At 41.1% G+C, this 27872-nt stretch overlaps 1 protein-coding gene across 13 annotated transcripts in view; it reads left to right on the top strand.

Moving 5' to 3' along the window:
- The window catches only part of GLIS3 (GLIS family zinc finger 3), a 666339-nt gene that overhangs the window by 426799 nt on the left and 211668 nt on the right, over positions 1-27872 (top strand). Inside the window, exon 5 of one of the 13 annotated variants that reach the window (XM_047422892.1) lies at positions 9154-27451. The exons of the other annotated variants lie outside the window; for them this stretch is intronic. Within the exon in view, the coding sequence (XP_047278848.1) occupies positions 9154-9195 (42 nt within the window). The 3' untranslated portion in view covers positions 9196-27451. Of the gene's footprint in view, positions 1-9153; positions 27452-27872 lie in introns of those variants that run through there. 13 annotated transcript variants of the gene reach the window in all.

Here is a 27872-nt window from a genome sequence, read left to right as displayed (position 1 = left end):
AGGACCTTTTATACATTATTGAGTTCTAGTAGTGAGTTAATAGCAAATATGCAGTACTTCTGATTTTAGTGAATATGCTTTTAATACAACACCATTTTTTTTTTTTTAAATCATGAACTTGCATGGCTCTTACCAAGGGCTTTAAAAGCTCTATTGAGACAATCACCTGGTTGGTTTTCTTATTCTGTTAATGCGCTAAATTACATGAATAGATTTTTCAGATGTTTAATAATCATTCATTCCTAGGGTAAGCCACTCTTGGTGGTAGGATGTGGTTTCAATCTTGTTATGCTTTCCTGAACTGACAGGCCAAGCATATCATCCCCTTTGCAGTATGGTTTGTTACATACCCATAAAAAGTCTCTTCCATATTGAGTTATCCATCATATTACATGTTTTATAAAAGGTAAATTTCACTAAGTGGGGAATAAAAACACATATGAGTAATAAGTAAGAAAGGACACATCTCATACATTTTGCTTCTGGAATATTGTGAAATGTGCAAATCAAATCCCTAGGCAGACATAAGGTGGTGCTGACTCAGATGTACATTTTTCTTTGTGCATTGTTTTTTTTTGCAGATATGGAACTCAGTTTGCCATCTGTATATTAATCTGGTGAGATAAAGAGTCAAGAGAGTTTATTCCAAGTGTTTGGTCCATATAACAGCAATAAGAATTTGTGTCGTTTGCATACTGTGCTTCCTGTGTACTTCACATTCTTTCTTTTTTTTTTTTTGAAATGGAGTCTCGCTCAGTCACCCAGGCTGAAGTGTAGTGGCATGATCTCAGCTCACTGCAAGCTCCGCCTCCTGGGTTCATGCCATTCTCCTGCCTCAGCCTCCCAAGTAGCTGGGACTACAGGTGCCCGCCACCGTGCCTGGCTAATTTTTTTTGTATTTTTAGTAGAGATGGGGTTTCGCTGTGTTAGCCAGGATGGTCTCAATCTCCTGACCTTGTGATCCGCCCGCCTCGGCCTCCCGAAGTGCTGGGATTACAGGCGTGAGCCACTGTGCCTGGCCACTTCACATTCTTACATATGCTATTTCATCTTCACAGCAATTATGGGGTAGGCAGAAGAGTTATAATCCCATTTTATAGGTATGAAAATGAGGCTCAGAGAAAGTAAGTGCCTTAACCTAGATCATACAGCAAATATGTGATATGGTTGACACTAGTCCCTCAAGCCTCTTAATCCTAAACCCAGTATTCATTCTATCTCTGCCTTGGATATTTTGTATGATTAAAGCTAAGCCTTATATGTAGCAGCAACTGGGGTACAGAAGCAAAACGAGTTTAGAACCCCTTCTTTCCTTTTCTTTCCACCTCTCTCCCAATCCCACCAGTATTTTCAATATGGGAAACTGACAGTCGGTCCTCAAGGAACACCTTATACAACATCATGAAGATTTTCATTATGAAATGCCTTTCTCTCCTAAATTAGTCGCTAAGGCACAGGGGTAATGTATCATTTTAATATGACTGTGCATTTGTTGAGCTCCTTTGCGTCAAAGAACGCACAGTCCTTTACAGACATTAACTTTCACAACCTATGTACTTAGTGTGATTTGGCAAGGAAGTAATTCAGTCTTCATATTGTGGTAATGAAATTGTGTCCAGGAAAGATGCTGGGACAGCCTGAAATCTTGGGTAAATGAAGTGAGGACAAGGAGGATGAGGAGTCCTGCCACCTTCCCCATTTTTTATGCTCCCTTTTGCCATGTGACTTAAAGAAGCTCAGATCTCCTAGGCAGAGGAAGCTGTCTCAGGACACCCTGAACACTGATAAACCAGGAGGAGCACGGTAACATGTGCATTGACAGTTCTCATTTCTCACTTGTGGCATTCTTGCATAATTCTTCAGGGAGTATGTGCAGTACAAGCTTGCAGAAAGAATATCATACTGCTTTTTTTCTTTAGAAACATTTCAGGACGTCATGTTGTTGGCTATCATGAAGCTTTTGATAATTCAGATATTTTGCTGAACTTTCATTTGTACCCGAGACTCTAAAAAAGTATCAACATCTCATTTTTACACTAAACTGTGTTAATATATATCCTTTGTAGTTCAGTCTTTATAAGTGTCCAATTAAACCATTTTATGGCTATTTATATGAGGTTCCAAGTCTAGAATGGAAAGTCCTCCTTTTTATTCTCTTCTTATGTTGTGATGTAATGTTAACAGTTGATCCAAATGTCCATCCATGATAGACTGGATTAAGAAAATGTGGCACATATACACCATGGAATACTATGCAGCCATAAAAAAGGATGAGTTCATGTTTTGTAGGAACATGGATGAAGCTGGAAACCATCATTCTCAGCAAACTCTGGCAAGGACAAAAAACCAAACACCGCATGTTCTCACTCATAGGTGGGAATTGAACAGTTAGAACACTTGGACACAGGAAAGGGAACATCACACACCGGGGCCTGTCATGGGGTGGGGGGAGGGGGGAGGGATAGCATTAGGAGATATACCTAATGTAAATGACGAGTTAATGGGTGCAGCACACCAACATGGCACATGTATACATATGTAACAAACCTGCACGTTGTGCACATGTACCCTAGAACTTAAAGTGTAATAGTAAAAAAAAAAAATGGATCAGTAGCCATTATGAAGCAGATGATGCAGAAGTGTAACTGAACCAGAAGAACGGGGTATTGGAAGCATGCAAGAGATAGGCCAGAAAGTAGGAACTAGCAGGCAGGCTCTGAGTCTAGAAAATCCATGGGCAAAGTGGGAGTGGTGGCACATTCAAATGGTACCTGTGAGCAGAGTTGAGAATTTTGATTCCTGGGCAGAGGCTGGATGAACTACAGAGAAGAATAAATTAATATGTCACATGTCTTAGTCCATTTTTCTGTTGCTTATTAAAATAATCCCCAAAACTGGATAATTTAACAAGAAAAGGAACTTCTATCTTACAGTTGTGGAAGCTGAGGAATTCAAGGTTGAGAGGTTGCATCCAGTGAAGGCCTTCTTGTTGGTGGGGACTTCCTCAAGAGTTCTGAGGCACACAGGGTATCACCTGGCAACGGGTCTGAACGAACTAACTCAGGTCTCTCTTCTCTTCTCATAAAGCCACAAGTTATACTCTCATAATCACCCATTAATACATTAACCCATCATTCATGAGGGCAGAGCTGTCATGACCCAGTCACCTCTTAAGGCTCTACCTCTTAAGATACTGCCACACTGGGGATTAAGTTTCAACACGGGGGCAAATATTAAATCATAACACCACCTATTAGTGAGCTGGGAAGAAGTAAAGTTAGGTTCAGTTGAAAGGGATGACCACTGAAGGTGACGAGAAGCAGGCTGGCTAGAAGGAGAATCAGGAACCAGATTTGAGGTTCAAAAGACAATGTTTGTTGAATGGAAAGTTGAAGTAAAGACAGAAATGGGAGGTTTAGTCCATTAAATAGGCAGTTAGTCTTGAAGAACTGAGAGTAGTATGAAGTGAGATATGGGAATTCCACTGAGAGTTTCAGGGTAGGCTAGGATGTCCAAACTCAGAGCTTGCCTGAGACATCTTTCAGTAAAATGCTTGATATGCGCTACCAGGGCTACCAAATGGGCTCACATGAGTTGACCAGGTTGGCCAGGAACCTTGGGTTCCAGGAGGAAGGATGCATTCGGAATTCAACATGCCTTAAAAGTAGGGGTAAGGTTCTGATTCAACATGTGTAGAAAGTTGCAAGGAACCTTCACACCTGCCTTAAAAATGAGAGTAAAAAACAAAATCATAGATTTTTTTATTTTTTGAGCTAGTAGGAGAGCCAGTCTCTCTCTTTCTCTCTCTCTCTCTCTCTCTCTCTCTCTCTCTCTCTCACACACACACACACACACACACACAAATAAAGCTGAGTAAGTGACAAGCCCTTTCAGGAGAGAACAAGCTGAGGCCTGCTTTCATCCCTGGCAAAGTGCTGGCAAGAGGAGGAATCTATCATTGTCAGAGTGAGAAGAAAGTAGCCCAACTTAACTAATTTGGAATGGCCACATGTTGGCTGTTTAGAATAATAAGGATCTCCAACCACAAAGCAATCCCTGCACCAGTCTCCAGGTTATTCCCATGGATGTTCAAGTGCAGAAGGATGGTAGGCAGAAGGCCAAGAATAGGCTAGAAAAGCCAATAGTACTTCTCTCTAAGGTATTTGTGGTTTTTCCACAAAGCAAGGCAATGGCCTGTTACAGGCTGAGAACAGGGCAGGAGAGCTGAGAGAAATCCCATCATGGCACTCTGGCAGTTTTCTGTAGTCACTGTCTGAAGGATGAAAGCAGAGCAGCAGTGCAGAGATCTCCAGAGGTGCCAAAAACCAGGAGTGTAGTGGAGAACAAAGAGAATATTTTAATGACTTAAAAAGCAGCCTCCTGTGCTTTAAAGCTGAGAGAAATATTCCCTAGTTTGGAAAACTGACAGCTTAGCATAAAGCATAGAGAAAAAATGTCTGAAATCTCGTCTGTGCTCAGATCTCAAGACTTGCCAAAAGGTCAAGGCCTGATCCCACCCTCAAAATATTTAAGCCAGTGGTGATTTGAATCTGATTAAAGCTGCAGTAACACTCAGACCTAGATCAACTATAGATTAGATGACTCAGGGTCCCCTTCGTCAACTAGCAGCCTGACAGCAGAAGGTGTGAGGCCTTTTCTTTTTTTCTTTTTTTTTTTTTGTTTTTGAGATGGAGTCTTGCTCTGTGGCCCACGCTGGAGTGCAGTGGCGCAATCTTGGCTCACTGCAAGCTCCACCTCCTGGGTTCATTCCATTCTCCTGCCTCAGCCTCCTCAGTAGCTGGGATTACAGGCACCTGCCACCAAACCCGGCTAATTTTTTTGTATTTTTTAGTAGAGATGGGGTTTCACTGTGTTAGCCAGGATGGTCTCGATCTCCTGACCTCGTGATCCGCCCGCCTTGGCCTCCCAAAGTGCTGGGATTACAGGCTTGAGCTACCGCACTCTATGGTTCTTTTACACAAAATATTTGGCACAAAGTCAGTTATAAGACATAAGAAGGAGCAAGCAAATGTCGCTCTTGGCCAAGAGAGGAAATAGTCAATAGAAGTAGACACAGAGATGGCCCAATTTTGGAATTATTAGGCAGGGTTTAAAATTATTATGCTAAGTACATTCCAGGACTTATTGGAAAAAATAGATAACATGCAGGAATAGATGGGAAATTTGAGCAAAGAGATGGGAACTGTTTTTTTTTTTAAATAGGGGAAAGGAAATATGTCTCGGGAGTCTGGAAAGTCAAAGAGATCAGTAGGCAAAGAAAAACACTGTTGAATAGAGCTGTGATTTCTGAACCCAGAGCAGTATCTGCTTACTCTCTGCCATGCTTTTTTTTATGCCTTATTGTGTATGTGTGGTTCATAGTTGTTAATTATAGGCAAACAAATAAAAAGCAAAGCCAAAAAAAAACAAGGAAAAATACAAGGCCTGCAGTCACTGGCTGGAGCAATCAGTGACCCAAGAAGCTAGGCTCATAGCTAAATCCTGGATTTACTTCCTTTTCCTTTTCTCTAGAAACAAGTCTTGTGATATAGGTACATTTGTGATTTGGTACAATCCATGCATCAGGGGATGTTCTCTTTGTCTTTTGTCCTTAGCTTTGTTTGGAGAGGTCACTCATTCAAAAGACCAGGTGTGCTGGAAGAAAATGTTTGAGTTCTAAAACCCAGAATAAAGATAAACACCTATACATATTTTTAGAATATTATATTTTCTTTACAGTTTGGGCTTTTTGTTTTTTTACATGTGAAAAAGATCAAGGTTCTTAGCGAGGCCGTGTACATCTTGCATAAGCCCATCATCAAGACCTCTTTTCTGAAGTTTTCTCAGTGACGATCCTTTTTCTCTTATAGCATTAAAAGTATTATCATGTCTTTGCCAAGAAGTGTCAAAGGTTCCTTTTGGTACCATTGAAAAAGTTGAGTAAACTATTTTTTTTTCCTAGCTGCATTCTTCTGTTCTCTAGGAAGTCGATCTGACCTTTCTTTCTTTTTTATTTCTTCTTCAATTTTTTTTCATTTGAAGAGGAGTAAACTGGTTCACACAAAATGTGACTTTACATTGTGCTTTTTTTTCAAGGACAAATAATGATTCTGAAACAGACCTCAAATGCCTGCTGAACTCAAGCTTTTTCCAGGAAATGAAAAAAGTACTGCTTTTAATTTTTCTGTGATTATCCATTTAAAAATTGTGCATTGTTACCTGTTTTTGTGCTTTCCTATCAAGCTCTTTAGCATAAAAATGTTATGATATCTTTATTAGGGATGGATCCACCCAGGGAGAATTTAGTCCTAAATAAAGGAGAACGAGTTTCATAATTGTCAGGACCCAGTGCAAAATGAAAATGTGGGGCCCCTTGTTCAGAAATGATTAAGAATTTTAAAATGATAATGGCAGAGTATTAAACATAGTGTGGAGGCCTTCTAAGGGTAGGGGCCGATGGGACTGCATGGCCTTTGATGCCCATGAAGCCAGCCCTGGAATTAGTATTCTCTCTACTTCTGGTTCCTTAGGGCATTGTTGACGCTTCATGAAGCTGCACATCCAGGTGTTCTAGAATTGTGGTCTTGAATGAGATGAAATTTAGGAGCCTAGTTGTGGTGGGAGATGCATGGCCAGTATGTAAGGCCATGCAGATAATGCACTAGATAATTCTAGGGGGCACGATTCACATTCTTAGTCATCATAAATTTAGATGATTATTGTGGCTTTTTTTCCTGGCAGATGGCAAAAAAAAAAAAAAAAAAAAAAGTGTCTTGAAGAGGAGCAGCTTTTTCTATTACCCAAAGATGATCTTATTTGGGCAATTAGTCGGCTGCTTTTGCCAACTCTTTTCCCTATCCATTAATATTTTCTCTTTTCCTTATAGATTGATTCCACTTTTTACTAAGTGCCCATTTGACGTCATAGTTTGTGTGTGCGTGGTGGGGTGTGTGTGTGTCACTCTGTATATATATGCACACGTGCATGTGTGTCTGAATTTGTCTCTCTTTTCTCCTTTCTTTCATATCCCGTCTCTCACCTCATCTCTGTTTTCTTCCCTTTGCTTTTTTCTCTCTTCTCTCTTCAACCTTTACTTTCTTCCCAAAGTCTGGCTTCGTAGAAAGTCTCCTGCAAAGCTGGCATTTGAATCTTAGGTTGAATTTCATTTCATTTGTTACCTCTCCCAAAGGTATTCCATTTGAAACTTTCAATTCTAAATGGGAAAAGGAAGATTTTAACAACTTAAAGGAAACCCTGTGAGCAGATGGTGCCCATCTCAGCCACTGTTAAAACTAGTAGCTTAAAAAGGAGTCTTGTATTTGAAGCTGCATCCACAGAGAGTTTACATTATGACAGTGAAATAAGAATAAAATCCCCAAGAGGACTGTTTGATTCCCATGTCTTCAAGGTTGGTCCTTAAATGTAGGCTCTGTGAGCTGGAAGGGCTTTTAGAGATAAATTAGAAATTCTACTTTGCAGGACACCCTGCTATTGCAAACCCCATTTGGTGCCATTCTTATACGCTAGGATGAATCATATCTAGGCTGCATATAATCACGGCCAAATGGGGGCTGGATGATGCCTACAATAGGGACAGACATAGCTGATGTGTGGAACTAAACAGGGCCTAGTATTAATTGCGCATGATCATCCTATCAGTCCTTCACCATTCTCCCCATCATGTTGGCAAAGGAGGAAGAGAGTTTCCTTTGCCTCCTTACCCTTTTCAGAATATAGACTTCCTTCCTTCCTCCGTCACTGCCATCGATGTTCATTCAACCCAATTTTACCTGCAAAAGAAATGTTCTAAGAAAGGAAGAGGAGTCCTGTTCTGAAAGCCAGACCATTGGTAGGGCTCCTTTACATCCCTCCAATGAAGCTGGAAGTTGGCTGTTGTTGAACTTGAGCCAGCTTGCTGTGGTTGATCCACGGAAAACAGAAGCCTTTGTGCATTTTATTTTGGACCTGATCACAGAAGCCTGCCATTGAAAGTGATAACACCATCATTCCTCGTTTCCTCTGCGGGGCTTTGAACATGCAGCAGAGCAACATATTTGCTTCACATTTCAAGTTGAACCTTCTGTAGGAAGGTCCTGCAAGCCTTCTGAGGAGGTTTGATGTCACAAATTCTCTACAGTGTAATGACATATTTTAAGCTTTTGTGCATCTCAAGAGTGCAAGCTCCTGAGAACTTATTCTGTTGATCATCTTGGAACTCCCATGGTCAGGCCCTGAACTTGGCATATGGAAAGAGTTCAGTAAAGGGGCTTGCCAGTGATACTGAGGGACATAGAAAAATAGGATCAGGAACAGGGATGGACGGAGGCACCCTTGATTTAAATGCACCTGGAATTTAGAGTAATCTGAGGCCAGATTCTGCTTAGTCAGACTCGACATCTGTAGCTACATTTCTCAGAATAGCCCAGGAAAGAGAAAATAGAGGCTCTTGCCAACTCTATTGATGTCAAGAATGACAACTCCATATGCTGAGAAGCAAGGAGCCCCAGTTGCACTGTTCATTCTTGGTTCAGGATGCAGAAGTAATGGAAAGGAGAAAGATGAAAAAGGCATTGCCTTCTTTCATTCTCCCCTTACCCACTGGACAAGGAAAAGAGGAAAATACAATTTTAAAAATCAAGTACCATAATCATGATTTTTTAAAAGCTCTAGATATCAACGTTAGCCAGATCCTTGTTAAATCCCAGGAAGGCTCATTTGTAGCTGCTGTGGGAAGACTTGGGAGACCATTATTTGGACCAATATCTTCCTTTTAACAAATGGAATCTTCTGAGCCTTGAAAACCCAATGTGGTAAAGCATCTCAAGGGGCAAAATGTGGAAAACTGACAGTTTCTCAAGTGTTTTGCTCAAGAACACACACATACACACACAGAGAGAGACCATAAAATGAAACATAACAAAAAAAAATCCACTCTGGATTCAAAATGTTCTAGTTTGACCAACAGCAATGTGCTATTACTTTTTTTTTGTTGAGAAACAGCACAGTTTTATAGGAGAAATAATTAGGTCAAGTTTCAGGAAGAATGACAATTAGATCTTTAAGCTCTGAATGTCAAGGAGGCAGCTTTGTGACTGGTGTGACTTGTGACCTGCTCCGCACTGATCAGATCTGTGTTTGCCTCCTTCTCTGTAGACTGCCATTTCTGTACCTGCAGAACCCGTAGGCCCTGACTGAAGAATTCACTCCAGAGCACATCCTCCTGTGACTCTCGCCAAAGTGTTTGTAACCAACCGTTAAATTCAGATGGTTCCTCTGAGCTTGGGAAAATACGTTTTATTGCTCTGTGCCTTTTGAGAGCTTGGAAAGGTGGAGGTCTTGTGGAGTTGTGGAAACATCTGTAGAGTACGTTGTTTGCAGGCTCTGGTCTGTGCTGAGAATAGAGCAGTGACCGTGAAGGATGAGATCTCTGCCCTCACAGAGCTGATGTTCTGCTGGTGAGTGTGGACAGGCTTCCTGCTGTGCCACCAGAGAGTCCTGTGACTTTGGGTGGGTGGTTAACCTCTCCAAGCTATTGTGTCTTCATCTTCAACTCTTCATCTTCGAAGGAGTTAGACCTTTTGAAGGCTTTGTGCTTAACTCATACATTTTTTATTTGTTCTTCTTTCTCATTCAAATAGCAAGAAGCTATTCAAAGAGTAACTTGACTTTTTGTTTTGACCTTGAAGTAAATTCTTGGAGGCTTTTATTTGATAAACAAAACAGAACAAAACTCAAAGCCTGAAGCAAACTGTCTTTACCTCAGGAACAAAAACAACAGATTGCCGTGTTTGATGGTCTGTGCAACATAAAGAAAGGCAGAGCTTTAGAAGAACATTGGAAATCTCAGCAGTCTACAGTTCGCCAATGGTGTCACTAATTGGGTGGCCTCTGGGGCCATATTCCTTTCTCTTCATGTGGCTTTGCTGCTAGTTGCTATCCAGAATTTTTTTTTTTTTTTTTTATGAAGAAAGAAAACAAGTAGGCACTGAGTCTGGCTCTTCCTCTGTCTTGTAGCTCTTTTTTTTTTTTTTAGCCTTGAGCACCATTGAGACATTTATCCACTAGAGAAAGACCTGCTATGTGCCTGGGACTGTTTTAGGCTTAGGAGATATTCTGTCGAACAAGACAGGAACAGTCCTGCCCTCGTGGAGTTTAAGTCTAGAAAGGAAGAGAAGTAGACAATTAACTAGTGAATGATTAAATAATTTGGGGGAATCTGAAAGTGCTGTGAAGAGATTGAAACAATGATGTCAGCAAAGTGCCTGGGGTGGGAGGAGGAGCTTTGCAACTTGCTTGACCAAAAGGTTCTGTCTCAGGAGGTGGTCAGTGAGCTGGGCCTGGATGATAAGGAGAAGCTATTGCTTGATCCCACAATGGCCCCTCATGCTAGTTAATACCGGTTATAAAATTAAACATGAGGCTGGGCGCTGTGGCTCACGCCTGTAATCATAGCCCTTTGGGAGGCCAAGGCAAGTGGATTGCTGGAGGCCAAGAGTTCGAGACCAGCTGGGCCAACATGGCAAAATCTTGTCTCTACCAAAAAATACAAAAATTAGCCAGATGTGGGGGTGTGCGCCTGTGGTCCCAGCTACTCAGGAGGCTGAGGCAGGAGAATTGCTTGAACTTAGGAGGCAGAGATTGCAGTGAACTGAGATCATGCTACTGCACTCCAGGCTGGGCAACACAGCGAGACTCTTTCAAAAAAATAAAAATTAAAATACTAAATTAAACATGAATGAAAAATGGCGTAACTGCTGTGGAACACCATTTGGCAGTTCCTCCATAGGTTAAACAGAATTACTATGTGACCCAGCAATTCTACTCCTAGGTATATATACCTAAAATAATTAAAAACAGACATTTAAACAAAAACGTTTACATGAATGTTTTTAGTAGCACTGCTCATAATAGGCAAAAGATGGAAACAACTCAAATGTCCATCAGTGGATGAATGGATAAACAAAATGTGGTATATCCATATAGTGAAATTTTAGAATAAAGTTCTGATACATGCTGCAACATTGATGAACCTTGAAAACATTGTACTAAGTGAAAAAAGCTAGGCACAAAAGGCCACATATTGTATCATTCAGTTTCTACGACATGTCCAGAAGAGGTAAATCTATAGAGACAGAAATCCGACTAGTGGTTGACTAGGGGCCAGGGTGTGAGTGGGGAATGAGGAGTGGCTAAATGGCTATAGGGCTTTCTTTCAGGGTAATGAAAATGTTCTGGAACTAGATGGTGGTGATAGTTGTACACCATTATGAATGCATTTAATATCATGAAGTATGTACTTTTAAATGGCTAAAATGGTAAATGTTAACATGAATTTTACCACAAAAAAAAATTAAACCAATTGTGATGTTTGACACGAGTCTTTATGAAGCAACATTTATATATACTTGAAAAATATCCTGAAAACGAAATGTACCTATCTGTCTTAGTTCTTTATTTCAGGAGGATGGGGAGAAAGTTTTATTTGGTATTTATTTAGGCCACTCCCTCTGAAAGAAGGCTTTCATGGACTTACCAAAATATAACTGAACCTAAACACAGGTATGCAAATATTCAGGTGTGCACATCTCTCCATTGATTCTTTTAAGCCCCAAATTATTTAGAAGTGAACAGGATGTGTTTTATACCCGGGCCTCTCCCAATGCACTCTAATCTGTAATTGTGTTCTACAAATGAGCAATGAGACAGATTCAGCCCCTGTATATACGCATGATACATAGACATTCGACATGTATGTATCATCTATAAACGTTAGTACCTTCCACTGTTCCAGCACCTAAAATAAATACAAATGGCAAAAAGCCCACCTTTGACTGAACATTAAAATATTAGCCACAGCAGTTGTGCCCTATTTGTTAGTGGAGTTTGGTGTGTCATCCATCTGACATATGGGAGAAATTGGTGAAAATACTGCAGCCTAGAATAGTGTTTGATGACATCTGAAGAGTTTTCAAACTTCTGGTAAAAATTATTGCTATGTTCTTTTTTAAAAACAAACAAACAAAACTCAGTTTTCAAATAATATGCATTTAGTTTCTCAAGTCTTTATGACCATGTTCTTTCTTTGAATTACATGAATAAAATACTAGTTAGGCCTCTTTGGGCTTTTTGTTTTTTCTTTCAGTTCCTCTGATCCACATAGTTATTAGGAGGTGGAGATATGTTTGGCTACATTTTTCAAGGGATGGATTTTGATACATTTAGGCTTAGATACAAAGCTCTATACCCGACTGTCTTAGAAAATGTTGAGACTATAGCAATCTCCAGCAGTCCAGAATGTTCCCGATAGCTTCTGTCTACCTAACCACTTGTAAGTGGCAACCCCCTATCCCCGCCCCTGCCACACACACCTTTCTTTTTCCTTCAGATACTTTTCTACCACATTCCACATTCGAAATAAGCAATTGAATGTCTTGTTAAGCCATGTTTGAATTTCCTCATAAACACACACGTGAGAGAAGAGAGGCTTAGTCTGCTCTGTTTGTTTGAGGCTCATTGTCTGCTTCCATTTTGACCCAGTTTCTTTAGGGGCTGGGAGAACAAGGAGAATTTTAGGCCTCACGGGAGCTTATCAATGGATGCTTTCAGACAGTCCTCTGAAACATGTGCCTTAGTAGTAATTAATTTGCCTAGGATCCTACATTCTTCAGAAGGAGTTTATTGTTCTCCAACAGGAGGAAAAATAAATCTTTGTAGTTTATTGTGAAACCTTCAGCTTCCCCCAACTGTGAGGACCCTGACTATCAGGTTTAGGATTTCACCTGCAGGTGTGAAGGCTTACACTTTTTATCTCCTCTTACGTGGAGGCCCATCTCTGATGGGGAGGGGTGAGAGCCTAACCAGTCTTGTAAAAGTGATGCCAGTGACTTTCAGTGGACTCTAGTGTTTGAAGGCTTTAAAAAGTTAGTACTGAAAGATCAGAATCCCACAGGAAAGGTATAAAAACAATAAAGGCCCCTAACATGACATAGCGTGTTCTGTACAGAGATATATACTCCACATTCTTCAAACATTCCTCGGAAGATTTTTTTAAAATTACTTTTATTTTTATTATTATACTTTAAGTTCTAGAGTACATGTGCACAAGCTGCAGGTTTGATACATGGGTATACATGTGCCATGTTGGCTTGCTGCACCCATCAAATTGTCATGTACATTAGGTATTTCACCTAACGCTATCCCTCCCCCAGACCCCCACCCACCAACAGGCCCTGGTGTGTGATGTTCCCCGCCCTGTGTACAAGTGTTCTCATTGTTCAATTCCCACCTGTGAGTGAGAACATGCGGTGTTTGGTTTTCTGTCCTTGCGATAGTTTACTGAGAATAATGGTTTCCAGCTTCATCCATGTCCCTGCAAAGGACATGAACTCACCCTTTTCTGTGGCTGCATAGTATTCCATGGGGTATATGTGCCACATTTTCTTAATCCAGTCTATCATTGCTGGATATTTGGGTTGGTTCCAAGTCTTTGCTATGGTGAATAGGCCGCAATAAACATACGTGTGCATGTGTCTTTATAGCGGCATGATTTATAAACCTTTGGTTATATACCCAGTAATGGGATGGCTGGGTCAAATGGTATTTCTAGTTCTAGATCCCTGAGGAATTGCCACACTGTCTTCCACATGGGTTGAACTAGTTTACAGTCCCACCAACAGTGTAAAAGTGTTCCTATTTCTCCACATCCTCTCCAGCACCTGTTGTTTTCTGACTTTTTAATGATCACCATTCTAACTGGTGTGAGATGGTATCTCATTGTGGTTTTGATTTGCATTTCTCTGATGGCCAGTGATGATGAGCATTTTTTCATGTGTCTGTTGGCTGCATAAATGTCTTCTTTCGAGAAGTGTCTGTTCATATCCTTTGCCCACTTTTTGATGGGGTTGTTTGTTTTTTTCTTGTAAATTTGTTTGAGTTCTTTGTAGATTCTGGATATTAGTCCTTTGTCAGATGGGTAGATTGCAAAAATGTTCTCCCATTCTGTAGGTTGCCTGTTCACTCTGATGGTCATTCCTCCGAAGATTCTTATGCAGGAAGCTTATTCCTATGTGTGCGCAAGTGTGTTGGAGGTGGGGATATATGTATGAAAGAGAATGAAGGAAAGAATCAGACTACGAATAGCTCAGTACACGACACTCCTGCCGGCATCTGTGGGCTGTGGGCATTGGCAGTAGTTGCAGCCTTTAACAGCCAGCCTGGCATTGGCACTGACCAATTGGAATGGGCATCAACTAATGGAGCAAGGTCCTTGATGGCCCATTTCATGCTAGGCTTTTATCCTTTAACAATCACGTTGTAGGGAGGTGAGGAAGGGGCCCTGCAGAAGTAGTCCAGATGGCCAGGCCAGTAGCAGGGGGATCTTAGGTATCAAGGCAGAGGTTATTTACCAACCAGTATGGTTGTATTTGAGTATTTTGACAAGCAGTACACTGGCTGAAGCTCTGGAAATCTCTCTGTATCCTAGACTTCTGGAGTAGTTCCTATCCAGGTGCAGCTGTTGTTGTTATTAGATGTGTGTTTTCTTTCTTGCATTGTGTGTTTGTGTGATAGTTTGCTCAGACATCATTGGTGTGTGTCTGAACTGCTATTTGGTTAGAACCTCACCATTTGTTCTTAGCCCTCTCTGTATGTCCATGGTGTTCAGTCCAGATTGAGGTCTGCTGACTTGGTTGGATCCCCAAATAATTTCCTGTCCTGCCACGTGTTGGTGACTATTTCAAAGTGAAAGCATGCAGTAGGGTCACTGGCATTCCAGAGATGGTTGTTAGGAGGTCTACATTGCCTGTTTCTAGAAAAGCGCTCAAATGTTGGAAGTAACTAAGTTGTTGGTCAGATATTTGTGCAGGAATCCTAACAGGTGCATAGGCTAGGCCTAGTCACCTGATGGGTGGCTGGAAAGACAGCCCTTGAGAGGGGTGAAATTACTGAGAAAATTTGCTTCATCTGAGCCCCACAGAGAGGACTTCAGTGCTGGAAGAGATGCTGCCACCTATTGATCATGGTCTTAAAAGATGCTTTTGTGCTCTCTTTGAAGAGATGCTTCTGTCTTCATTAGGTCATTGGCTTCAGAGCAATTTGACGCAATTTAAAAATAAGCACACAGTTGAATACCATAATGTGGTTAAGCCAGCTGTTTCTGACCGTGCTAGCTACTTTTTTTTTCTATTTATGAGAATGGCTTATATTATGCACATACTGAGCCATGGCATGGCTATATGATAGCCCCATATAATATCAGCATTTAAGGTGGACTGTTTAAAAAGATCCACAGGGTAATAAGTTTCCAGCAGGATCCCTTACAGTGTGTGAACCATCTAACAGCTTTTTGCCCTTCCATCTTCTGCTAAACATGTTTTCTTGATCCTCACACATATCATTCTGAATTTAAAAATACCATTTACTTTCCTTGGTTTCATTTAAATGTTGCATTATGTTTAACTATAGCCAGCCCTACATAATAAAATTTTCTAAAAGGTCATTACCCCTCACTCTTCTTCAGGGGTCGGATAAATTCAGTGTGAACACACAGAACTGCAGTAAATGGGGGCAAAATGCCAGTTTTATTTAGGGCTCTCCAATCATGGGTTCAATTGGAGAACACAGTGAGGCCCCTTTCCCCACTGCCTAAGCCCTGAGTCTTGCCCACACTTCTTACCCAGAGATTGTTGGAAAAGTAAGAACCAGAGAACAAAGACCTCCTTAGGCCTACCAGCTGGTGAAGTAGATTTCTGCTGTCCCAACAGAGTTCATCTCACAAAAGTTTACTGGCCTTGCCTACACTAATTGCAATTATTTTCCTATGTAACCGAAAAAGCAGACAGAGAGGTCAGGAATGTTGGCTTTGGAGCCATAACACCCAGGTTCATGTCTTTCCCAGAACATTCCTGAATCAACTAGGGTTCCCTTTTCTGTGCTGGCATGGGGTAGCACACTGAGCCGACTCCCACCTCTTTTCATACTGACATCGTTATATTACAGTTTTTTCTTTCCCTAGATTGTGAGCTTCTTCAGGTCAGGAACCATGTGTAAGTCACTTATGCATCTCTAGCTCCCAGCATAATAGGTACTTTATTATTTGTGAAGCTAAAATGCAAAGTAAGTGAACCAGAAAGGGTAGGTCACAAGGTGTGGATTTAAGTTTGTTTGTAATTCAGAGCAGTAACAGGTTTTTGAAATTAGTGAAATGAACAGAATTAGAATATGGGTCTAAAAAAGTAATATAAAAATAAAGATTCTTAAGATTTAAAAGGACCTTAAAAGATTACCCAATTGTATTAGTCCGTTTTCACACTACTATCAAGATACTACCTGAGACTGGGTAATTTATAAAGGAAAGAGGTTTAATTGACTCACGTTCTGCATGACTGGGGTGGCCTCAGGAAACTTACAATCATGACAGAAGGGAAAGTAGTCACGTCTTAGCTGGTGGCAGGCGAGAGACAGAGCGAAGGGGGAAGAGCCCCTTGTGAAACCATCAGCTCTCATGAGAACTCACTCACTAACACAAGAACAGCATGGGGGAAACAGCCCCCATGATCCAGTCACCTTCCAGCAGGTTTCTCCCTCAACTCATGGGGATTACAGTTCCAGGTGATATTTTGGTGGGGACATAGAGCCAAACAATATCACCAACTCAGCAACCCATTTTGAAGTCTACACTCCGACAACTTTCCCATTAGTGTTTGTTGAGACTTTGAGCATCTGCCAGGGCTTAAACTGTTTTCACATTGAGGTAAAATATCCTTTACAGCTTTCATCCCTAATTGTGTCCTCTGGCAATACCTAGATGAAGTATTGCCTCTCTTCAGTTTTCATTTATTTGAAGAAGAATTGCCATGTCTCTCAACCCATACTTGCCAAGTAAACATGCCTAGTTCATTCAGCCATTCTTCATATAATACAATTTAGAGTTCCTGCATTATCCTGGTAGAGGAACTCTAAATATATTCCAGTGAATGTACTTCCCTCAAAAAATGCAACGCTAGAAGTGAAGATAATACTTCAAGTATGGCACAGAGTAGAAAAGATTTATTACCTACCTAATTCTAAAAATCACATGCACATTAAGTACAACTTATCGTATTAGCTTCATTGATTGCTGGCCCCACCTTTGACCCATGTTCAGTTTTCTGTTGATGAACACAGAGCATTTCTGTGTGCTGCTGCTTAAGTCATGTATCTCTCAGCCCCTCCTTATAGGGTTGTTTATTTGGGCCCCAAAGTGTTATATCCTGCTAGATCTAACCCACCTCTCATGCCTGCCAACCCTCTCTTTGGATCCATACTGTACCATTCAGGGTCTTTACTGTTTTTCTCAGCACTGTGCCTGTGAAGATTTGGTAGGGTTGCCTTTACTGTCTTCACATAGGTGCATGATGAAAATGTTCAACTGGGCAGGTCAAGAATAGAGCCCTGTGGTAAGCTACTAGAATCCTCTCTTAAGGTGAGTATCAACTTTGAAAACAGTTTATAACAAGTTTTACACCCCCCTCTATAATTTATAAGACTGCCATAAGAGACCTTATAAAATACATTGTTGAAGTCCATATTTTGGTACAGCAATATAAATGAAGGGAAAAATGAGCTTAGGCTGATGTGGCCAATTCTGAGTGAAATTAAAATTTGCTGCCTCCTGGCAGTTGCACTTTTTGTTCTGTCTTGTCATGAGCAGCCTAATAAACCATTTATGATTTCCCCCCCGATCTCCCAAGGTGACCGACCTCTATATAATTTTTAGAATCTTTCTTCTTCAGTTTAAAAGTATGAATGACATTTGCCAGTCCTCCAACTTTTGGCACATCTTTCATTTTCCAAGAGTACTCAAAGATATCTGACGGGGCGGAACATTAGTGATCTCTGTTGCAAGGACTCATAATATCTAGAGCTGTGATTGCGAGACTGTGTTTAATTTCACCTTCAGCCTCTTGTCTGATTCTTTCCAGGCATCTGCTGTTGGGGCCAGGACTTCTTCTTTTTCCAAGTTGTTACATTGCATGTACAAAAGAAAAGTTCAGCTGGGTGGGGTGGCTCACATCTGTAATGTCAGCACTTTGGGAGGCTGAGGTGGGAGGATCACGAGGTCAGGAGTTCGAGACCAGCCTGGCCAACATGGTGAAACCCATCTCTACCTTAAAAAAAAAAAAAAATTAGCCAGGTGTGGTGGTGTGTGCCTCTAATCCCAGCTACTCGGGAGGCTGAGGAAGGAGAATTGCTTGAACCTGGGAGGTGGAGGATGCAGTGAGCCGAGATCGCACCACTGCACTCCAGCCTGGGTGATAGAGCGAGATTCCGGCTCAAAAAAAATTTTTTCATTTTTATAGCAAAAAGTTCAGAACACTTCATCTTCCTGCAGCTTTTTAGTTACGTGAAATCCACAAGGTCCAGTGTGTACATCAGTTTCCTTCATTTGCAAGGGGACCGTCTTCAAGTAATAGGGCTTACGATAAGGATGCAATATCAATATGGCCAAAATGGCAACTTGGAAACACAAAATTGAATCAGTAAATGTCAGGACTTGGAATTCAAAGATCTAAGGCAACTCTAGGTGCTAGGTTGTCTGGCCACTGCTGTTGGCTGCAGTTGAGTGACTTCCACCCTAGTCCTATGCTAAAAACAGACTCTGCTCTGTTCTCTGCCTTGTTTTTTATGCCTGCACTACCAAACAGCTTTCTGAGTCCTCCCTTCCTCGGAATTTACATCTGCCCTTGCTTTTGGCTTAATCAAAAGTTTTTCCTCACCCACTGCATTCTGTAGTCTGTTTCTTACTCATTCTATTATCCTGGGGGACTTTCAAGATGGTGTCTGGAAAAATTTAGGAATGGATCTGCCCAAAGATAAAAAGAAAGTGAAGAGTCTGTGTTAGTCCCAGGTTTTTGCTTTTCTTTTCAAAGAAATATGAGAAAGCATGCTAGTGTCTCTAACTCTGTGACAGTACTGTGAGCAGTCACCCTCAGTCATGCCCATGACCTCTTTCTGAGGTAGTGGTTCACCTTGTAGACCACCAGGTCTACTGTACCCAACCCAGACTGCAATGTGCACCTGACCCAAAGACAGTCACTCCATGTGCTGGCCAGCAAAAAGCTCTTTCCCACATAGGATAAGATGGACCCATTGGATTCCTTCTCTGTGAATAATTTTCACTGAAAAATAGGAATAGGACCAGGCGTGGAGTAGCAGGAACAGAAAATTAAAGAGAAATGAGAGACTATGAGAGACCAGAGAGAGACTATGTGTTAATTTTCCTAAGGGAAAGGAACAATCAGGAAAACAAATGTTGACGTGCTAAGGGGCGTTGGGAGATTACTTAATATCTCCTACAGTCTTCGTACAGATCTGTATAATCATATGCATAAATGCTTTATGTCTATTTAGTCGAACTTGGCACTAGGGGATGGAGAGTGTCTGGTTTCACAGGTAGAGTTAAGAGCCACACACTGTTCCGAAGACTTTGATCTTTCTTTTGTTGTAAGAACTTCATTCTCCTGTTGAACAGACTCCCTCCCCATGTCCTTTCTGATGGGCATCCTCAGAAGGTTGCTCAGCTTCTCTGGGACACTGAAGGTGTCTGCCAGTTTTCTCTTCTGTGCCGGACCCTATTGGTGATGTTTGCCTGCTCTGCCCTCTTGGCCCTTACCTGTGCTCTTGACAAGGCCCATCATATTGCCTTCCATTGTTGGTGACAACAGCCGGCTGTGGGTGCTGGCCAGTGCTGCAGGTGTCAGGTTCTGCTGCTCTTGCAGCTGATATATCTGGGAGCCCCCAACCCAAGACTTGCATTGTGTTCTCCAGAACTACAAGTGAACTCTGAAGCTGCATCCTGTTCTTGTCTTCATAGGAAATAATTACTCTTCTCTCTTTTGTGTTACTCAGTCACATTATTCTAAAGAGGTACTGGGTCAGTTCCCAGTAGCTCAAAGATGGTGTGAAAACAGATCTTTCTGTTAGTTTTTCAGGCTTATTCACATGTCCATGGCTGTTGGGACTTGTAGAGAAGAAGGTTTTCCTGGGAGCAAACTCAGCAGTAGAATAGTGTGCTCAAAACCACCTCCCCAGCCCTCCAATAACTGAGTCATTGAGACAAAACTCATGGTGCTGACCTTCTCCTTCTTTAGGATATGATTTAAAGGCCCCTTCCCAGCCCTTCCTACAGACTGACTGATGGAGCCTTCAGCCTGCCAGTCACCCCAAACCAGCCGTACCTGATTATCTCCTGGGAATCCTACCACAGCTCAATCAGAACTGCTCCCCACCCTCACCCCACCTGCCTTAATTCTTAGAAAATACATAAAAAACTCAGTGTACCTCACCCTGATCTCCCACCTCAAAACTAAGAAAACTGGATTTCTTGCTCAACACTCTACACTTCATACTTGAAAAAAAAATTAATTCTGACAGAACCACCTCTGGCCCCTTGCCAAAGACGTAAAGTCTCACTGAAAGTGATTGGGAGGAAAGGAACAAATGGATGCTTAAAGGGATTAAAATGCAGGAGTTAAATTGGGACCTTGAGTGGGGCTGTGGGAAGGGGAGGGGCTGGGAAGCTGTGAATGCAGAGAACCACAGCTGAGAGCATTGTGGCTCCGGGGGAGAAAAACCATTTTGGGTTCTTAGTAGAAGAATAGCCATTTCTTTTGATATTTCCAAGATTGCCACTCTTGGGGTTTGCGCTCTTTTTCACTGTACCTTTTTTTTTTTTTTTCTTTTCAAGCAAGCTCTAATGACTTGGCGTCCTGGCACATAGCTGCATTCTGCTCATAATAATGTGTACTTTCAAGTTTTTACTCAAACTCAATATAATTTCCTTTAGAAAAATGTTTTTGAGAAACACAGTATTAAATCAAGAAAGCCCTTGCTGCTTTTATTGTCACTAAAATCATATATTGTTTTCCAAAGAATACTGCCATTTGTTTATATTTCCCTACAGTTTTTGTTTTTGGGAGTTTTGTTTTGTTATAGTGGCAGCTGAAGTGATTTTGAGTGTTTGCAGCATGATGTTAATTAACCAAATGTTTCAACCTGGAACTTTGAACACCTGGGCTTACATAAATTGCTCAGAATCAGTGTGGAAATCTTCGGAACAGTGGATGTAGAAGATTTGGGGTAAAACAGGCACTAGATGGTGAGGGGTTTTATGCTCTACTCATTCTTTACGCAAAATAAAAACAGACGAGTAAGTGTTGGCCTCTTTGGAACAGATGATTCCCAGCAGCAGTTGGCATGCTTTATGTACTCATGGGTTAACCGGAAGCAGCTCTCAGAATATCCATTTTAATGAAGATAGCTTAGGTTTAGTCTATGTTTGGCTGACAGTTAACACTGTTCCCATTTCACTTCTCTATTCTGCTGACCCTTGGGCTTGATAATGTTTACATCTTGGATACTTGCAAATGAAGAATCAAGGCTGGCCATGGGAATTACTAGGGTGTCAGAGTGAAATTTTGGTACCCAAATCTCTCCACTCATCCTTCCTTCCTTCAGGAAGCTCCTGACCAAGAGATTGTTGACTAAAGAAAAAAAAAACAAAAACCCAAGCTTTTGAAATGATTAACGTGCGTTCTATTCAGAAATCTTATTGAGGACTGTAGATGAGGCCTGTAGCTTGAGAGTTGCTCTCTTGAGAGGTTCTGTCAGCACAGTTTCAGCTCACTGCGTATATACAGGTGGTGGAGGTTCAGGACATGCAAAATCACATCAAACTTGTCCAGAATTACACTAAAGCAGAGTCATATCAAGGTTTGGGCATAAGAGTACACCTGGATATAGGTTACAGAAGCATAATCACTAAGACTGTCAGATATTGTCTTATGTGCAGAAAAAGGCAAGGACTAGGGTCATTTATCTTTTAAGGAAATAGTGACTCAAGCAAGAGACATGAAGTGGGGTTGGGTGTTCTACCTGGTTTTATCTTCAGAACATCTTTCTGGAGAGCTTCACGTTTTCAGAGAGTCAGGGACTTTGTGACGTTAGATTCCAGAGAACAGAAATAAAACATGCCATCTTACATTTGTTACTTTGTCTCACAGAGCATAGGCAAACAAGAACCATACTGATTAGGAAACGAAGCACCGTTTTATGAACAATTAAGTAGGCACCTGATAACATCACAGAGACACACACACACTAAAAATGGAGCTCTGGTAAGGCAGAATTGAGTCTCAATGGTGGTGCCCATGAAGTTGACCCAAGCTTTTTTCCACCAAGTCTAAGGTGCAAAAACTAAAACAGATTGAGATAGTTGATTTGCCTAAAGCAAGGCTTCTCAAAAGCAGCATTAATGACACTGGGGGCAAGATAGTTCGTTTCAGCAGAGGCTGTTCTGTGCACTGTAGGATGTTTGGCAGTTTCCCTTATCCCTAGTTGGTAGAGGGAAATAGAGGCCGGTAGCAAACTTCCACTCCCACCCCCTTGTTTTAACAACCAAAGATATCTCCAGTCATTGCTAGACATCCCCCGGGGCTTTTAATAAGCTTCCCAGGGATTCCCATGTGCAGTCATATTTGAGAAACAGTGTTTTAAAGAAGTACAGTCACTACTGGACATGGCCAAAATGCCTGCCTTGCAGATGTCCTGTGTAATGAACACCTTCTTGATGGTACTCACTCCACATAACTATCCTTCACTTTCAAAGTTTAGCATGCATTAGAATCACGAGGTGGGACAGGATTAGAATGTTGAGAAAGAAATCTTTCTCCTTCCCTGGGTCTGGAGTGGGTCCTGATGTTTTGTATTTCAAACAAGTTTCCAAGCAGTGCTGATGCTGCTGGACCAGGAGACCACCTTTGAGAACCACTGTTGATGACCTTCACTTCAACTCTTACCTAAAGAACAATGACCCAGTTGACCCAGTTGACAGCACCACTTGAAGACTGTGGTAGAACGATCTACTGAACACCTCATTCCATCACCTCTTTTCATCTTTTTATAGTGTTTTCTCCTTTTCTCCATCTTTTATAACTCACTATCCACTTAGTTCCACTGAAGAAACTCTGTCTTTATCGTCCACATTAATAGTTCTCCAAAGTGCTGGGAGTTCCCGTTCAGATTTTTTCCATTCCTTCTATATCCTTATTGATTGAATATTTTTCTTCACTTGCTTGCATTAAAGATTTTAGGAAAAGACCTAAAATCTGGTTTTGTTGTTCAGATTGTCCTTATTTGTGATATACTATCAGCGGGGATGTCTTCCTTTTCTATCGTAAATGTAGCACGCTGTAATAGTTTGTTATTGAAAGAGACTTTGGGAGTTAATTTAAAAACCTAACAGCCATTTTCAAACAATGAATTAATAATTTTTGACAGAAAACCTTTGTAACTAGGGGACTATATATTCAATGTAGCAGGTTTTTTGTTTTTTGTTTTTTTTACCTTGTGAAGTAAAATGTTTTGTAATTCAGACATATTATTTAAAATGCTTTGAAGTTTGCAAAACCCTTTGAAGACCAAGGCTGTGATTTACATGTCCCCATTTATATTTTTATTAAAATCACCACCCCTCCATAAATAAAGGTATTAATGGGTAAATATTTGGCCAGTTAAGTACCAGGACTGTGTAGGGGGCTTTCCTGCAGATGGGCAGAGGATGTAATTTCATTAAACAGGAGGTCTCAGTTACCCTCTGTTTGGAATCCACTGAAGTAGGACTTCTCTTGGCTCTCCTCTTAAGACTCAAATCTTCCCAAACAGTTTTGGCCTCCACATTTGTGATGCACTGGCCTTGGGCTTGGCATTGACCCATTGGCCTTGTCGATCCTCCAATTTATACTGTGCACTTAAATTCTAAAATGATACTTTTGCTCCATCTGCTTCTAACTTGAGTGCTCTAACTCCTGTAGTACTTGACCATTGTGACATTATACTGTAGTAGTCATTGAAAAACACTCAACATCTCCCAGACATTTCTATGACCCTAACAGAATCTGGACCGATTGTAGAGGAAAACACATAGATCTTAGAAAATACAGTGGGAAAGAGCACTGGCTGGGAGCCAGGCAGGCTCTGGGTCAGGCTTTGGCACTAAATAGTGGTGTTTCCTTGGACGAGTCACTTCTCTTACCTGGCCTGTATTTTTATGGCCTAGAAAATTGAGGGAGTTAGATGAGGTGGTCTGTAAGCTCCTTTTTGAGGCTGCCGTCCTGTGTTTGTGAAGTTTTGTATTTTGTGGGCTGGAGACCCATCAGAGCAGCTTGTTTCCAAGAAGCACAGGCCTCTTTCCACATAGCTCACAGGAAATACATTGTCTGGAAGAGAGAGAGAGAGATGCTTGGATACCTGTAGAAAATGTTTGGTGGCTTCTCTATTTTGCTATTCAGTGGCTAGATAATACTGCATTGGACAGCTGGGAAAAATAATTTTTTTTCAGTCAAGTCTTCAAATTTTGGTCCTCGGCACCAATTACATAATATATGCAGAAATACCTTTATGAATAAATATGTAGGACCCTCTCCAGAGAATAACCAGGTGCCCTATTAAATTCCATATGAAATGGGTAGAGTGTGGAACCACCCTAGGTGTGAAAAGAGTCCTTAAAGTGTTCCCAAAGGGCAGGATTATAGCAACGTATGGTGCCCAGGCTTATTACATTGGTTTTCCTTTTTTATTCTCCCTCCTCAAGTTTGTAAGAGACGGATGATTCCTATTGTTGTGGCAAGCTGCTCAGCTTTACCCAACGGTTCATAGTGAGAGAAGACATGGGGAGGGCAGTTAGTTCCTCAGTTGGGGAAATTAGACTGCCTTGGAGGTCACTGGGGGCAAAGGTGATCAGAGTTATGCGGAGCCCAGTCTGTCATCTTCATGATGTTTCTACAGACAGGGATACTTGAATGCACAGTGTTGAATGCATTTAAAGGCTGGATCCACACATTTAAGAAATCAGGATTAAGGAAGCTGTACAGATGTAAACTTTGAAGAAAACAATGAAAAAAAGAATAGTGGAGAGCTGAATACGTGTGGCCAAACTATGTCACTTACCAAAGGGCCAGTCATCATCTTTTATAACATGCTAGCACAGTGGTTTGCAGAATGTATTCTCATGCCTGCTTTCAGGATAAAAACGTTAAAGAGACATGCCTGGGAAATTCCTTTTCCTTTTAATCAGGATAAAGTGGCCTGTTGAGGCCTGGGAAAGTGTATTGGATTTCACCTTTGATCTCCCATACGTCAGTCTCTTTACAAGTGGTCATTTCTCTGAAAGGTACAAGCTGGGACTATTTGGCATTGAGTTCCAGAATGGCCTTTATCATCTTGATGACAATTTTTCCAATTTCTTTAACAGTTTATTCAGTTGTAAAACTACAGTGACTCATGTAATTAGAGGTTTCCCTCTGTGTCAACAGAGAGGATTTTTGGAACCAACAAGTTGGACAAGTTTCCTACCACACTTCAAAAGAAGTAGTTAATCATGGGATAATATTTTTAGGATGTCGAAACTGGAATATGGCTGGCTGCTAATCATCCCCAAATAAAACTCTTGATTAATTACAAATAAATTAATCCAAGAGTGACAAAATTTACTTGGGCCTCATTGAAGTTTTACCAGGTTGCTTCCTCCAAGCCAGGTGAACAGGAAGAGGGGAAAGATGTTCTTCTCCCTCATTAAAGTTCCACTTAAATAAATAAAAACAAAAACACTCTGAACTCACAAAGACAGATGGGCTATCTTGTAAAACATTTTATCCAATGAAGTGATTTTTTTTTTCCTTTCCTGGATTTTGTATCTCCCCTGAATGTGGGCAGCTGAAAAGTGTGTATAAAATATTCCCAGGAAAACACCAAAGTGAAATTTCTCCACAGCTGTCATAATAATAGTTCATTAAATAAAATGGTGTATTTAAAAAAAGACTTGAACATTTCATAAGCAACTCTTGGAGAGATACTGCAAATTAATTAAGTGACCATAAGGGCACGATGACAATCTGAGGTTTGAAATTCAAGAGAATGGTGACTCCGAGTCTGTTGGCAAGGTTATTACCTATTTTTCTGTTTCTGAGAAATTTATCTCCTAGTGCTTAGATCATAGATTAAAATAATGCCTGAGCCTGTGAAAGTTCCCCCAGGATTTATTGTCTCTGTGTGTGTGTGTGTGTGTGTGTGTGTGTGTGTGTGTTGTGTGCACACACATCTGCCCACTGCAGCACTCAGCATGGAACTTGGCTTGTGGGGTATTCTCAACTGATGTATTTATAAAACATGTGTATAACATTTATTATATGCCAATCCTTGCTCAGGTAAAAATGTAGCTAATTTAATCTCCTGATAACCTATCAGATCGACACTTTTACCATCCTATTTTACAGATGAGAAAACTGAGGCACGGAGGGGTTAGTAATTTGCCTGTGGTCACAAAGCTAGGAAGTGACAGAATTAGAATGCAAGTCCTAAGCTTTAGTTTAGGTATCCGTGCTAGGCTCCTGTGCTACGATGCCTCTCTCAAGAAATCTTTCTCGAAATGAAATTAACAGCTTTGTCTGTGAAGAGTTTATAAAGCAAGTTCACATGTCATTTCATTTAATCTTCAAAGTATTCAGTAAGGAAGGTAAAGCTATTCCCATTTTCAGATGGGGAAAACTGGTGCTCAGAGAGTGGGGTGATTTTTTTCAAATCTCCTTCCCTAGTAAATTATACAGCAAAGGTTAGAACATGGACACCCCTGTCTTCAGCTCTGGCTCTCTTTCTGCCATAGCTGCAGTGGGGTAGTAACTTCGATAGGACTAAGAATCCACTGCGGTCTGCCCCTTTTATTTTTAGCCCCTCTACTGGTCTTTATTTCTCCTGGAGATCAGCAGTTGATACTCAAACGCAAGGAGTAGGGAGGGATTTTGGCATCAAGAATGAGTCCTCCAAACGGCTTTCCTGAAGTTCCTCCTGGTATATCACCCACAGTTCTTCTCACACCTCTGTTCTATGAACAACTAGTAATCACTATGGTGGGAATTAATTTGGGAGTCAAAGTTCAAGGAAAAAATTCTCAGGTAATGCGCCGTTTGCTGGGCACCTATTTAGTAGGTGAGTCTCAGGGCTTAAGGCTGCAGGTCTTCACAGTAGCCTCTCTGTTTTTCCTCTAGCACTCTTGGAGTCTCAGGGAGAAAACTGTTTTCTGGTTTGAGTCTTATATCCTCCCATTTTGGCTACTGATAGAAACCGTTACCAATTTGGGCTGAGTTCTCTACTTCTTTCACAACAGGAGTCTTGCTTTCAATTCAAGTTGTCAATCATTTTTCAAAAACCCACTCTTTATTTATACATCTGTTTATTTATATCCTATCTTGTTCTACAGAAATTAAGGGGAGCAGAGAATAGTAAAACTACAAGTATAAAGTAGAAAATAAAGATTAGAGAGGATTGAAATTAGAGTAGGGCAAGGCCTGAGAGAAAAAAAAAAGAGATTTGATTTCTGTGTTCTTAGCCAGAAAAAATAAAACAAACAACAAAAACAAAATGTAAAACGCAGTGCATCCCAGAATTTTTGTTGCTGGTGAGGAGTTAAAAAAGTCTTCAAACGGTAAAGGAAAATCCTCACTTGGGGCTTTTTTCAGATGGTAATTCCCTGTGAAAAGCACTGAGGTCTTAAAGATGACCTTGAATCTTTCAGCCTAGCAAGGAATCAGGCAAACTGAAACCTACAGAGTAAACTCCAGGCGGCTCAAGGCCAAGTCATCTGGTATAGGAGCATGTAGGAAAGAAGGATTCATTGTGACAGAGGGATGTGGGCAGGCAGCAGGAGGTTCCACCTGAGTGAGCCTTGAGTAAATGGATAGATTTTGACTGCAAGAGTGAAGACGGGAGCATTCCAGTCCCAGGAGATGAAGGAGCAATGGTCAGTGTCGTGGGCTTGCATTTGAGTGGGGCAGGGATACAAT

Source organism: Homo sapiens, chromosome 9, assembly GCF_000001405.40.
Source record: "Homo sapiens chromosome 9, GRCh38.p14 Primary Assembly".
NCBI classification, from domain to species: domain Eukaryota; kingdom Metazoa; phylum Chordata; class Mammalia; order Primates; family Hominidae; genus Homo; species Homo sapiens.
Note: the sequence above shows the minus strand (reverse complement) of the source record. Positions and strands in the feature narration are given on the sequence as shown.